Source organism: Homo sapiens, chromosome 2 (genome assembly GCF_000001405.40).
Source record: "Homo sapiens chromosome 2, GRCh38.p14 Primary Assembly".
Classification (NCBI taxonomy): domain Eukaryota; kingdom Metazoa; phylum Chordata; class Mammalia; order Primates; family Hominidae; genus Homo; species Homo sapiens.
In genome coordinates, this window is record NC_000002.12 from 217,398,045 (window position 1) to 217,412,467 (window position 14,423).

The following is a 14,423-nucleotide window of genomic DNA, read 5'->3' on the forward strand; positions in this document are numbered from 1 at the left end:
AATTTTCTGACTAACTATGAGCTCCCAACTAAAATTTCCAACATAAGGAGACTAAGAGATTATCTGACCCCATGCTCTTATGTGATCGGTGAAGGAACATGGACTTATCAGAAGCAACTAGTAGGAAAGCCACTCAGCTGATTGATACGTTCTGTCTAGTGTCTTAACTCCAAATCCAAGGCTTTGTCCTACACACCACATTGGTTTCCCGCCACATAAACAACTTTCGGTGTGGGAAATCTGATTTCATTCTCCCTTGCTGTATCTAAAGTTCCCTGCACTTAACCGCCTCTTCGGTGAGTAAGGAATAACATAGACCCTTGCCATAGAGTGAGGGCCTTTGAGATCATCTAACTCCAGTACAAAGTTGATGTTATGTGGTTTGTCAGTCTCTGATTAGACACTTTCAGATATGGGAAACTTACTACTTCGTTTCAGACAGCTCTAGAAATTCATCTCAGATTAGAGATTCCTTGAAATGAACCCCAAAACATGCCAGGCTTTTGAGGGCAGAGGTTGTTTTGTTTGTTTGTTTTTTTAAGTCACTCAGCTTGAGCCAGTGCTGAGGGCCTTTGATCCTCCAAAGTCTCTGTAATGATTAAGGTGGTTACATTGGTTCAGATGGCACCTCCTTTCTCCTGGGGATCACACCAGAGCAGAACTGGCTTCTGGATGGTGGAGCTTGGTTCCCCACTCAGAGGATGCTAAAATTGCCCGGTCTTTTGGGCAGCAGGACTTGAGAGTGACAAGGGGCAGTAACTCCAGTTTCAAAGAATCTACACAGCATTTGAATTGAAGAGCCCAGATTCTAGCAGTAAGAGAGAGCATCTGCTTCTTTGCAAGGAGCAGGTAAGGTGGCAGCTAGGCCACAGTCGGGGCCTGCTCAGGGCTGCTCCATCCTGCATGCTGAAAGCTGCCCCTGCTGCTGGCTGCTGGCCCCTAAGGGAGCACTGCCGCAGGAGAGGAAGTGGAAGCGCACCAGAGGAGAGGAAGTGCACGGCCAGAGAGGAAGCGCAAGGCGGGAGAGGAAACGCAAGGCGGGAGAGGAAGTGCAAGGCAGGAGAGGAAGTGCAAGGCAGGAGAGGAAGCGCAAGGCAGGAGAGGAAGCCACAGCAGGAGAAGAAGCACACAGCAGGGCTGTGAGTTGTATGGCCTTTTACAGCCCTTCCACCCAGAGGATTCCTTTTGGGTACCACTCTCCCACTCCTTAAAAAAACTCCACTGGCGGCCATGCATAGATGAGATTCTAAATACTTTCGGGCTACCTTTCTGGAGGTCAGAAAACATGGTCATATAGCCCAAGCCTTGTAAGTCTGCATGGGCTACTGAATTTCCATGGATATTTTGTTTTTGTAGGCCTAAACAAGAAGGCTAAAGTTAGAAAGATAGTTGGGCTCGGGGGGCTCAGCATTCTACAGGCTTGTATGACTAAAGAAACCACTTCCACCCACTCCATCCCCTTCCCAGTCAGGAGAAATTCCTGGTCGATGAGTTAGAGAGACTGGATTGGAATAAAACAAAATTCTTCACTGGACATAGCTGTTTGGACTGTGATTATTATTATTTTTTATTTATTTATTTTTGAGATGGAGTCTCACCCTGTCGCCCAGGCTGGAGTGCAGTGGCACGATCTCAGTTCACTCCAACCTCCGCCTCCTGGGTTCAAGCGATTCTCCTGCCTCAGCCTCCTAAGTAGCTGGGACTACAGGTGCATGCCACCATGCCCGGCTAATTTTTTGTATTTTTAGTAGAGACAGGGTTTCACCGTGTTAGCCAGGATGGTCTCAATCTCCTGACCTTGTGATCTGCCCGCCTCGGCCTCCCAATGTTATTTTTAACAATAAGTAACTGCTACCAAATATTGAGTGATTACTGTAACGCCAGGCATGCCTATTTCATTTAATCCTCCAAAGTGCCTGTGAAATAGGTAGCAATTGTCATGTTAGAAGTGACAAAGACAAGATTTAGAGATGTCAGTAATTTGCCTACAATTACTAGCTGATGAGTGTGGGGCCAGAATTATAATCTAGGCATTGTGACAGTGGAGTCCAGTGTCTTACTGTTTATAGTATGCTTGTGACATGTTGTGAAAAATACACGTATATGTATTTGCATAGATTCATAAAATTCACATTACACATCCATAAAATCACAGAGAAGCAATTCTATCTTGATATCTATTTCTCTCCCTCTCCCTGTATCTGTATCATTAATATCAATACCTATATGTATACCAACCTATATCTAAATTGATTTGCATCTTCCCATCCAGCAAGATCTTGCTTTGCAAATGAAGTTGCCTTCTTACTGTTTAAGACTGGTGGAAGTCATTGGTTCCAGAACTAAGAAAGGGAGGAAGTGTGTGGGGCCAAGGTAGCATGGCAGTAGTAAAGAGTGAGCACATCACCTTAGAGTCTCAAAAATACCATTTGAGGCCAATTTTGATACTTAGAATATACTATGCTTCTAAATAACATACTGCCTTCTTAAATTAACAAATACTGTAAAAATTTCAGAGAATAATAAAGTCATGTTCTATGAATCCACCACCCAGGTAGCACTTGTTGTTATTTTCAGCAAGAAAAATCAAAAGAATGCATGCACATGGTTAAAAAGTAAAAACATGAGAGCAGAGGGAAGAAAATAAAAAGTAAAAGCTCCTTCTCACCCCAATTTCATCTTCAGATCCTCTCTCCAAAGACAACTGCCAATAAAGCATTTCTTCTGTCTTTTGTACAAACAAGTTTACACTCCGAGAACTATGCCACTTGTGTCTCCCTTTGTTATTGGTATATACTATTTCATGGATACCTAAACCCCTATAGTGCATCTGGACCTGATTCAAAGGTTTTGATGGACAACCAGTGCTATTATTAATGAAATATTGATAATAAAAACTCACCTTTATTAGGCATTAATTATGTGCCACTCACTCATCTAAGCACTTTATATGTATTTATTCATTTAATTCTCACAAAGTTCACATTTGGTATTCGGTTGGGTACCTCGCTTTGCCCACCATCTCCCCAATCCACTGTGCACCTGACCTGCAGGAAGAGCAGCAGCAGCAGCTCTGTTGTCTCTGGCTTCCATGTGGGGTCAGCCCATGGGTGGCACGGAGGGTGGAGAGCAAAGTTGGTTGTTTGGCCTCTCACCTGCTGTTGCTCCCTTTGTGGGCCAGCTCCTGTCAGATGGTCCATCACACACAGCTCTCTCCCTGCATTTCAGAAACCATCTCCTTCTCTCACTAATACCAGGCTGAGGAGTGGCAATGACCCTCCACTCCCACCAGCCAGGAGCACGGCATTGTCCCTTCTGGCCTCTTTCACCCTGTCTGTGTCATTGTAAATAGGCCTTTTTTCTTAAACTCTCTCTAAATCACTCAATTCAAGAGTGTACCTTGTTTTCTGCTAGGATGCTGATTGATAGGAATATGTGCAATTGACCCCCATGACATCACTGAGAAATTGGAGGCACACAGCCCATGGTGGGCATAGGACCCAACCGATGAATTTGCTCCCCAGAGACTGTGCTCTCATCCCTGCACTCCCTCATCTCTACAAGGTCACCCATCTTAGGGATACACCTCTAGGTCTATTCATATGACACCTCAGTGGCTCTTAGGGCTTTGCCAATACAAATAGTGTTTCTGTAAATATCTTTATATGTCTGTCTTGGTAAATATATGGAATTATATCTATCGAGCATATTCTTAGCAATGCCTAGTCAATGTGTATATACAATTTTTAATTTGAGGGGATATTGTCAAATTGCTATAGTAGTTAGTCAAATTAAATGTACTTGTATACTATGACCTGGTAATTCTACTCTAAGTAGATAGATTTAGATATAGTGATAAGGATATAGACATATCAAAGAAATGCTCACACATATCCATAAAGGGATATGTACAAGAGTGTTCATTATAGTTTTGTTATTTTATTTTATTTTATTTGTACTGTCTTTGTTTGGAGCAGCGGTGAGAAGTTGGTGTTGGTGATAGATCCTCATTGGGAGGGTTCTTAGATAAACCGTGGTGGATGTTCACCATGGGATTTTGTGCAGCAGTTTGAAGCAAATGTATGCATAATGATATTGTAAATATAGTGCTGAGTGAAAAAAATAAGATGTATGCCATAATGCTACTTTTGTACATTAAAAAAAAAAATCCACAAGAAACACTATCTCACATTTTGCAAAAATACATGCAAAATGACACCCATTAAACAAACAGGGAGGGATTGCCTAGGAGAGGTGGGTAGACGGGTATAAAGAGGAATGACTCAATCAATCAAGCAGCGGAGGGGAGAAGGGGGACATGATAGAGAATATTGTCACATTTCCTTCCAGAAAGGTCATGCCATTTACATTACTCCCTACAATGTAAGAGAGTGGCCATTTTTTCCATAATATTTCCAATGGTGAATATTATGAAACTTGCAAAAAAATTTCCGCAAGCTAATGGCTGGTATCAGACTGAATATTTTTTCCATTCTGATGATTTGATTTGTGTTTTTCCATTGTGAGTGGAGTCAAACCATTTGAATGTCTTTTTCTGTAACTCAGAATACTTTGCATTATTGGAAATGTCCCATGCACTTCAAGGGGTTGGCAGATCCACCAGGGCAGTCAGACAAACAGGTCTTCTGCCATCCTCAGGCACAAAGGAGGCCACGTGTCCAGTGGACACACAATCCATGAGTATGAGTGCCATGGTTATCCCCAAACCTCTCTTTAGTTCTGACAGCACCAGTGTCTTGGTGACTTCACGACCTCTCCAGACCAGAAGGCCATCTGTGCTTGGTTGGCAACCCCAGCTGCATGATCAGATTATTTCAAACTCTGTTTCAAATTCACTCGCACTAAATGCACCAAAAAAAGCACTGCTCTTTCTGTGCTGAGCTATTTAATGTTGTGGGGCTGTTTCCATGAGCCCTTTTTGTTTAGCTGGACTTTTTTTTTTTTTTTAACCCTCCCCCCTTCCACCCCTCCTTTTTCTTTTCTTTTTTTTTTTTTCTTTCTTAAATGTTCTTTTCTTGGAAGAAGTTGTTCCTTTGCCAAACATAAATGAAACTTTGGCTCCAAGATCAGCTCAAAATTTACTAGCTGATAAATTGGAAGTAGGGAGTGCGTTGTGAAGGTGGGAGGAGAAGGGAGAGGGGGAGGGAGGTTTTCATTTGGGGGGCAAGTTCAAACTTGGAATCAGAAGCTATTAAAGTGTCTGATGTGTGCTGAGTCATATGGAGGTGGGGGCAGGGGATGACGCTGGCTCCTTGCCAGACACACGTACTGCCCAGGTTGATGAACGAGCCTCCAAAGGCACTACAACAGGATTATAATTTCACTAGCATTTTAAACATAATATTAGAAGCCACGTGCATGACACCGAGCAAGCAATCAGCATGGGCCTCTTGTGTTTATGAGACTGGTCTTGGAGTATACATCTTTTTAAACTCCATATTCCCACTCAGCTCTACCCCTTTCCCCTACTCTCCCCTCCCTCCTCCAACTGAGTCTCTCTAGAAGCTCCCTGGCTCCCCATTCAACCAGGGGTTCTATGGAGCCATGGAGAAGACACCAGCGCTGAGAGGAGAAGCTTTCCTATAAAGACAGTGATGATGGTGATATTCACTCATTTAATATTGAAAGGAATCCTATAAAGTAGATAATGTTATCCCCATTTTTACAGATAAGGAAAATAAAGCACAAAGACAAAGCTAGTAAGTGCAGAGCTGGGATGTGAATCTAGGATTTCTGCATTCCTAGCCTCTCTAACCTCTGCCCCTCATTCAAGTGCCTTCGTCTCACCATCCTGCATTTCCCACAGGATGGTTTCTGACCTTGGCACATGCTGTTCTCTTATAAGATAGAGAAAGGCAGTAAAGGGTAGAGACTTCCAGGTGTTCAGCCCCCTCCATTACACTTCCTTGCTCAAATCTTAGTGCAAAATCCGTCCTAATATTCATCACTCCTTTTTTCTTCCAAAGTTTTATTATGGAAAATTTCAACCACACGGAAAGTTGAAAGAACAGCACAGTGAACATCCATGTACTCACCATCTCTTTACCTTCTTCCCTCCCTCCCCTCCCTCCTCCAGTTGAGTCTCTCCAGAAGCCCCCGATTCAACAAGGGGTTACAAGGAGCCATGGAGAAGACAATGAAGGGTTCTACAATTAAGATTTTGCTCTATTTTTTCCATCATATCTATGCATCTCTCCATACCTTTATTCCTCTACCCAATCCATCTATTTTTTGATGCATTTCAAAGTACATTGCAGACATTAGTACATGACACCTCTAATCAGTTTTATGTTCCTTTCCTTTTTACTTTATACGAAATAAAAATCACAGTTAACAATTATCAAGTGCTTACTGTCAGGCACTGTGCCAAGCACTTTCCTTGCATTACATAATTTGAATCTCATGGTAACCCTATAAGTACAGTTACCACCTTCATTTTACAAATGAGAAGAACTGAAACAGAGAACAATGGTGTCAATTAACATTTTAAAAGTCTTTCTATGGGCCATTCACAGTGCAAGTACTTTTCATGCATTATCTCAGTTAATCCCTTATAGCAATTTCATAAAGGCAATACTATTACAGATGACAAAATTGAGACTTTGAGAAAAAGATCCTGCAACCTAATAAGCATCAGAACCTGGGTTTGAATTGAGGGAGTCTGACTCCACTATGCTTGGCTTCGCCATTGGTTAGCCACCCTATTGTAGCATTTTTCTTTGCTATTGTGTTTTAGCTTTTTGGGTCCACTTATGTTTCTCACCAGACTGTGGTCTCTCAAGTTCGAGTCATGTTTTAGTCTTCTTAGTTCCAGGCCATCATTCAGATACAAGTAGGCACTTCATAGATGTTTCCTGAATGGATTCACAAACAATGAATAGTAATAGCTGAAAGCCTTACATCTTAGAACGAAGTAAAACAGTGACCATTCTAGAAAATGCAATGAAAATCTTGAAAACTGATGATAGGTCCTGTTGATAATTTCCTGAGGTTTTCTTTACACCAACAGGATTTCCTGAGTAACCTGGAGATGCGAGAGACAGCCTGGGGGAGTTCAGTGCTCTTGCCAGCCCAGGCAGGAGCACACGCCCATACCCTTTGGCTCACCAGGCATCTTTTATAAGCCCACTGTGTGGCAAACACCAGGCTAAGGGATGGGGAGGACACAGAGGCTAAACCTGCAAGGCCCCATCTTACGGAGCACATAGGCTAACAGGGCATAGGAAGAGACTAGCACATTCATAACCATGACAAAAGTCATGATGGGCACTTCACAAGAAAGAGACAAACCCAGTTTTTAAAGCAATTCCAAGGAAGGAGAAATTAGATTATGGTGTAGAGAAGAGGCTCAGCGACACCCTGTTGGGGAAATTTTATTTGGGATGGGCACAATTTTCAATAATAGAAATGTGGCAGGGAGTAAATGAGCAAAGATGGGAAAATGCAGTCCCATGATGCTCCAGTTGTCAAGAACATCGAAAACAGACCCACAAGGCCAAGTTACCCACTGTGGAGTAAGAAAACAGACAACACTAAGGCCAAATTCATGCACTATGTATGTTTTTACCCAGAGCAGCGCTATGGAAGAAGCAGTGACTATAACCTCACTCACAGGTTGAAGCTCATTCAAGGTGCCTGCAGCAATGGATACCAAGGCTCTCCTGGGTGGTGCCACAATGCAGCAAAAGGCACACTATGGGAGAAGAGCTTGAAGGACCACACAGATGGAGTGTCCCAGTCACCTAGACACATGCTATGCAGTGCTCACAGTTCTTTATATTATCTCATTTAACCCCTATTAACAACAGATCCCAGAGCTGTTATTGGCCCCAGTGTTTCAAATGAGAAAACTGAGGCAATGAAAGCTATGAAAGCTTAATGACTCAGTCAAGGTCACATGGCCTGGAAGAAGAGAAATCATTGCCTCCAAATCTAATTTTCTTGGTGTTGTCTCATTAATGCATAGGAAGATCAGGGCTTTGGAAATGAGTGTCATGCTATAGAGATAATGCTTCCCCCCCCACCCCCGCCCAAATCTGGGTACTTCACAGTGAGTCTATGAGTTATTAACTGCCTCTACTAGAGTTAATGAATTAAAAAAAAAAAACTATGACTTTTGAGAAATTAGTCAAGTCTGCCATTGGGATAAACTAGATGCTTATTTCATTTACTCAGGAGCACCTTTCGCTACAGCTTTGTGATTGCGAGCTCGGCCTCTGGAATCAAACTGCCTGGGTTTGAATCCCAGCTTACACTTACTGGCTGTGTGCCTTTGGGTATGTAACTTAGCTTCTCTGTGCTTCAGTTTCCTTATTTGCAAAATAAAGAGAATAATCGTATCTACATATGCAATTAGTAAACTTTCAATCGTGTTTGGTACATATTAACTGTCTGACAAAAGTAGCTTGATTTGTCATTTGTATCCCATTATATCACTTTTTTGTTGGGTGCCTTTGGGTTTCAGAGAATGGAGACCTGCTTGGATTACCTCAGATGCTGGGGGCTTATTACAAAGATACATGGCATAAAAGAAGACCAGGGGCCGGGTGCGGTGGCTCACGCCTGTAATCCCAGCACTTTGGGAGGCCGAGGCAGGCGGATCACGAGGTCAGGAGATCGAGCCTATCCTGGCTAATATGGTGAAACTCCGTCTCTACTAAAAATACAAAAAATTAGCCGGGCGTGGTAGTGGGCACTTGTAGTCCCAGCTACTCGGGAGGCTGAGGCAGAAGAATGGCGTGAACCCGGGAGGCGGAGCTTGCAGTGAGCCAAGATTGTGCCACTGCACTCCAGCCTGGGTGACAGAGAGAGACTCTGTCTCAAAAAAAAAAAAAAAAAAAAAAAAAAAGACCAGGAACTTCACAACTGCATGACTGGCCACATAGATCTGGAAAATCATTATTTATCTTTTCAGCTGTTGCATGCATAAATTGCCATATTGCCAAACTAGTGTTTGTCCGCTTGTCTGCAAAGTAAGAATCCTTTACTCCTGTTACTCATTTTTCCTCCCTCTCTTCTTTTCTTCCTTTTGTTTGTTGCAGAAGGTTGAGTAAATTGCACTCCTCAGTCCATGGCCCATTATTTATCTTGTTTGCTTATTTATTTCATCTCTATTCCTTCATCCTAGTTTTTCTTCCTCCCTCCCTTAGGCAAACACTCTTATTTGTGTTTAATTTAGATCCTTTGGTTTGTATGTATTCTTAGAAAACATTCATTTTTTTAATCCATGTATTTTTAATTTAAAAAAATGGTACTTTGCTATATATCTCTTTTTGTTCCTTACTTTTTTCACCCAGCACTGTTTATCAATTCATCTGTGTTATTAGATGCTCAGCCAGGCTGTTCATGCTCACTGTTGCTTCATTCTCCATGATGTATACTCACCATATGCTGCCTACCTAATCTGCATTGATGGATTTCCAGATTGCCGCCAACTTCCTGTCACCACAAACAACACTATAATGAACATCTTCAAAGATATCTCCTTATGGATCCGGGTGAGATATCCTTGGAAATACATGTAGGGTCCATTTTAATTTGACTAAGTTGTGTCAGATTGCTCACCAGAAAGCCTGTTCCTGGAGACACTCCCAGCAGCAGTACACAAGTTCCCACACCCACACCAACCCTTTGGCATGCTGCAATTCTCCAACCTTGCAGCCATTGCTTCTCCATCGTTCTCCTCTTTCCACAATCTTGCTGCTTCCTCGGGCTGTTTCTGCTCTCACTGCCCACCTACCCCACCCTGCTGCTACCTGTCCTCACTTTTTTCTCTGGCCTCCCCTACACCCCATGTGGTTCCTTCATATTCATGGCTTCTGCTTTTTGAATAAACATGTTTGAATATTTTCTAGTATTCTTTTTTCCTCCTTGTCTTTCTCTTTGACCTTCAAACACTCTAATTGGGCTCCTTAGTTGCTACCCAGTCTAGCAACATCTGTGAGGTGAAATTCCGTTTTTTTGGGGTTTTTTTGTTTTTTTTTTTTTTTGAGATGGAGTCTCGCTCTGTTGCCCAGGCTGGAGTGCAGTGGCACGATCTTGGCTCACTGCAAGCTCCGCCTCCCAGGTTCACGCCATTCTCCTGCCTCAGCCTCCCGAGTAGCTGGGACTACAGGTGCCCACCACCATGCCTGGCTAAATTTTTGTATTTTTAGTAGAGACGGAGTTTCACCGTGTTGGCCAGGATGGTCTCAATCTCCTGACCTCATGATCCACCCATCTCAGCCTCCCAAAGTGCTGGGATTACAGGCATGAGAGGTGAAGTTCTTTTTTTGGGCCACTTCTTATGACTACTGTGGATCAGCTCAGATGTCTACCCCTGGCCCAACAGATGTCTCCAGGGTGTTGAAGGTCACCGGTCTAAACTCTATTGACCCCTGGGGAAGGAGTATCTGTTACAGGCTCTTTCCATAGAAGGGGGCTATGGCTATGGCAGGCATTCAGAGTTCTATGAACTGCTCAGTATACACATTCATTTGGTATTTTGTTAAATTCACCATTTACCAATTTTGATGTGAAGTGGCCACAGTTACACAAGAAAAACACCAACCTTGAAAATTATTTTATACATAAATGTTACCAGAAAGAGGTCCCAATCCATACCCCAAGAGAGGTTTCTTGGATCTCATGCAAGAAAGAATTCAGGGCGAGTCCATAAAGTGAAAATGAGTTTATTGGGAAAGTAAAGGAATAAAGAATGGCTACTCCATAAACAAAGCAGCCCCGAGGGTGGCTGGTTGCCCATTTTTATTGTTATTTCTTGATGATATGCTAAACAAGGGGTGGATTATTCATGCCTCCCCTTTTTAGACCATATAGGATAACTTCCTGACGTTGCCATGGCATTTGTAAACTGTCATGGCGCTGGTGGGAGTGTAGCAGTGAGGACGACCAGAGGTCAATATCGTGGCCATCTTGATTTTGGTGGGCTTTAGCCAGCCTCTTTACTGGAAGCTGTTTTATTAGCAAGGTCTTTATGACTTGTATCTTGTGCCAACCTCCTATCTCATCCTGAGACTTAGAATGCCTTAACTGTCTGGGAATGCATCCCAGTAGGTCTCAGCCTCATTTTACCCAGCTCCTATTCAAGATGGAGTTGCTCTGGTTCAAAAGCCTCTGATATAAACACAGTGGGAAATCACCTATTCCTTGCCCATTGTTAATCTTGAGCCCCTGTTTTCCTCCTTACAGTACTTCCTCCACACGGTATTGGGGAAATTATGTCTTAATCCAGAGAATATGTTGTTCCCCTTGCCTGGAATATTCTTTCCTAACTCCCTTTTGCCCTGACTAAAGTGACCCCATTCTTCTGACATTAAATTTCACTCTGGTAAGATCTTCACTGACCTCTACTCTAGGATAGGTTCTCCTACTGAATGTCCCCATCTCCTATCCTCACACACAATACACTTTATTATAATTAAATGTCATCCTGTCCTGCAAGATATGAGTTACCTGAGTATATAATTGCACCTGTTCCTTTCACTACTGCATTTCTACTGTTCAGCAAAGTACTTTGCATCTAGTATGTGCCCAAAAAATCTGTGGCTGTCTTTGTTGAATGACAGAGAGGGATATCTCTGGGAGATTGAGTTTAAATCCCTGTCCTGTTATGACATCTGAGACAAGTCATAGTTCCTGTATTATCTACCTCACAGGGTTTTTATATATGAAAATGTTTTTTCAAATTGTGAAGGTCTACAAAAATAAGACAAAAGCATTTGATGGGAAAAGACACTCAGATAATTTTGTGCCTCTTCAGAGAAATTTAAATGATTTAAATGCCAATTGCTTGAGTAAGTGAATAAAATAATACCCTCATCCTAACATAATTTCATAAATCAAAGATTATCATCAAAGGGGTGTTAGAGACGGAGAGACTCTGGAGCTTATCCTTTGTTCTACCTGGAAATGAATTGACTTGGAATCTATGTGACTTGCCCAAGTCAAAAGCTGTAAACAAACAGGGCTCAGAAAAAGGGTCTTCTCTAGGCCTACCCTTCACATACTCAGAAGCATGTGCACTTGTAGGAGGAAGCCTGTCCAGCCGCACTTGGTCTCTGAGTGCTTACAGCAGCCAAGCAGCCTCCTCTTTGGCTGCTACCAAGCTGACCTTTGATTCGAGCTTCCCACAAGCCATTATTTCTTAAAATCATGGAATCATCAAATTCTCTAGTGCTTTTTTTTTTCATTTTTTTCTTTTCTCTGTGCTTCACACTGACCCATTTCTTCTCATTGACCCATGAAGAAGTAGCAAAAAGAGAGATGTGCACACTGAGTCAGAGCCTTTATGTGCTATGATCCAATATGTACCACACTCCCATTAGTTGGCTGGAAAGCTATCTGGGGTTTTGAGAATCTAGACCTCTGATTTCCAAGCAAGTTGAAGTTATTCCCAACACACATGGCTTCCCAGTAAGAAGAATTCTCTATATTTCTGTGTGTGTGTGTGTGTGTGTGTGTGTTTCTGGTTGCTACAGGAATTAGAAGCAGTGGCAAAAAAAATAATCCTAATAAGGAGTCCTTTGTGCCCAGCTGTTATAAAACAGGATTTTTCACAAGCATTTACTCTCTCCCCACAATGAAGCCTTAAAGTGCAAAAGTTCACCCTGAGCATTGCCCACTGCTTTTCTTTAAACCTTCCAAGAGACACACAAGGCTCTTATTTTTCAGGGCCCATCTGGCCATAAATTGCAATAGACATTAATTTATGAAAACAAATGACACCAGCCTACTCCACGACATTTTCAAATGGGAGTATTAGGCAGGGCAATAAAGCAGGAATAAAATAAAAACACTCAGACCCTGTAGCTGCCCTGGCAATGCCCCAAGCCACACAGGGACCCTCAATATCCCTGTTCCAACACACTCTGCTCTTGCAAAGTTACGGTTATTTGATCATAAGACATGAAATTCACTTTTTTGGCCAGAGTGTGGCAGGAAATTAAACATATCCAAGCCTTTCTCCATGTGACCAGAATCACCATTCTACCTGCAGAGTTTACATCAATGGTGATAACCACAGATAGAGCAAAGGAGCTGGATTATCAATACTGGCAGATGATTTAGCTGGTGGTTAATCCATTCTCCCCAGAGTCTAGAGGAGTTATTTCATTCTTGGGACTCTTGTCTAAAATTTGGTGTGTGGAACTTCTAGTAGAGTCAAGGGGATGGTTTACAGGCATGCAGAGGAAAGGTAATTTTAACCTCCTTATTATATACCTGCAATTGCCAGCATTAAGCAGACAAGCAGTGCCAACTCAAATACCATAGGAAAGATGCAAAAAGAAAGGGCTGAGTAATATGTCTGTGACTCTAGGCAAGACAGCTGGCCTTTCTAGTTTTCTGTTTTTCTGGATGCTTGAACCTAATGTATCTTAGTTTTTCAGACATGCATACTGAGGGCAGTAAGACGCACATATACATACAAGAAATCTTTGTGCTCTGAGAGATAATAGGTATAACTTTAAAACTCATTTTCATTTTATTTATTTGTTTATTTTTTGAGATAGAATCTCGCTCTGTCACTCAGGCTGGAGTGCAGTGGTTCAATCTTGGCTCACTGCAACCTTCTCCTGAGTTCAAGCAATCCTCGTGCTTCAGCCTCCCAAGTAGCTGGGATTACAGGCATGTGCCACTCATTTTCATTTTAAAAGGCTACACTTAGCATTAAAAATTAAATGGAGGCTGGAAGAGGGGTTACAGTCTTCTCCCGCCAGTCTCTCTTTCATCAAATGAAAAGATACAAGACTCATCAGACCCAAATGGGGGTTAAAAGATCAGCCTCTTTATTGCTGAAGGATATACCTAATCATTCTCTAAAAGTAGAACTTCTAGAAAATTTTTAGAGAGTAGGACTTAAACCTTGAGCTCAATGGAACTTCCTTCTCCTCCTACTCAAATCTTGGTCTCAGGACTCACCTATTTGGACAGCTGAGTTGAGAGTCTGACATAAATTCACCTGCCTAGCCACCAGCAAGGTACCTACAAGGAAGCACAGGGCTGCCCCATATCCTCTCCAGGATATCCTTTCCGGGCCCTCCATACTGGGGGACCTTGCCTAGAGAAGTTTATCTCATAGAATTTCCTATGAGGAGGAGATTAAAGACTATGATCCTGCAATTCCCCCGAGAGAACACAGAGCCAAGAAACTAAGAAACGATGTCATGTGTGAACTGCATATGGCATTTAACACTGTCCCCCATCCACTATTAAATGTGGTTCCATGAAAGTCAGGTCCTCAACAGTCAGGTTAGCTAGTCCTCCCACTTTGGGGAGGGGCAAATAAGCAAGTGGAGAGAGAAGATGGAAGTATTGTATTCTTTCTTTACCAGTCAAAGTGCAAACATGAGAAGGAGAGTATAACTGTTCCTCCTCTCAGTTGGAATTTCCTTACTGGGGGA

The 14,423-nt window shown here is 42.4% G+C and overlaps 1 long non-coding RNA gene across 12 annotated transcripts in view, besides 3 other annotated features; it reads right to left on the reverse strand.

Annotated features, from left to right (window-relative positions):
* The window catches only part of DIRC3 (disrupted in renal carcinoma 3), a 506,425-nt gene that overhangs the window by 114,026 nt on the left and 377,976 nt on the right, over positions 1 to 14,423 (reverse strand). The window contains exon 9 of one of the 12 annotated variants that reach the window (NR_186296.1): positions 6,785 to 6,875. The exons of the other annotated variants lie outside the window; for them this stretch is intronic. This is a non-coding gene — a long non-coding RNA (disrupted in renal carcinoma 3). The remainder of the gene's footprint in view (positions 1 to 6,784; positions 6,876 to 14,423) is intronic. 12 annotated transcript variants of the gene reach the window in all.
* Positions 6,055 to 6,224: an enhancer, noted in NCBI's record as "experimental_56989 CRE fragment used in MPRA reporter constructs". NCBI's record gives its function as "activates a minimal promoter by MPRAs in K562 erythroleukemia cells, with activity observed for both the introgressed and non-introgressed 2:218268907 variant alleles {active_cell/tissue: K562}" and the evidence as "EXISTENCE:reporter gene assay evidence [ECO:0000049][PMID:34662402]".
* Positions 7,937 to 8,106: an enhancer, noted in NCBI's record as "experimental_56990 CRE fragment used in MPRA reporter constructs". NCBI's record gives its function as "activates a minimal promoter by MPRAs in K562 erythroleukemia cells, with activity observed for both the introgressed and non-introgressed 2:218270789 variant alleles {active_cell/tissue: K562}" and the evidence as "EXISTENCE:reporter gene assay evidence [ECO:0000049][PMID:34662402]".
* Positions 13,970 to 14,139: an enhancer, noted in NCBI's record as "experimental_56991 CRE fragment used in MPRA reporter constructs". NCBI's record gives its function as "activates a minimal promoter by MPRAs in K562 erythroleukemia cells, with activity observed for both the introgressed and non-introgressed 2:218276822 variant alleles {active_cell/tissue: K562}" and the evidence as "EXISTENCE:reporter gene assay evidence [ECO:0000049][PMID:34662402]".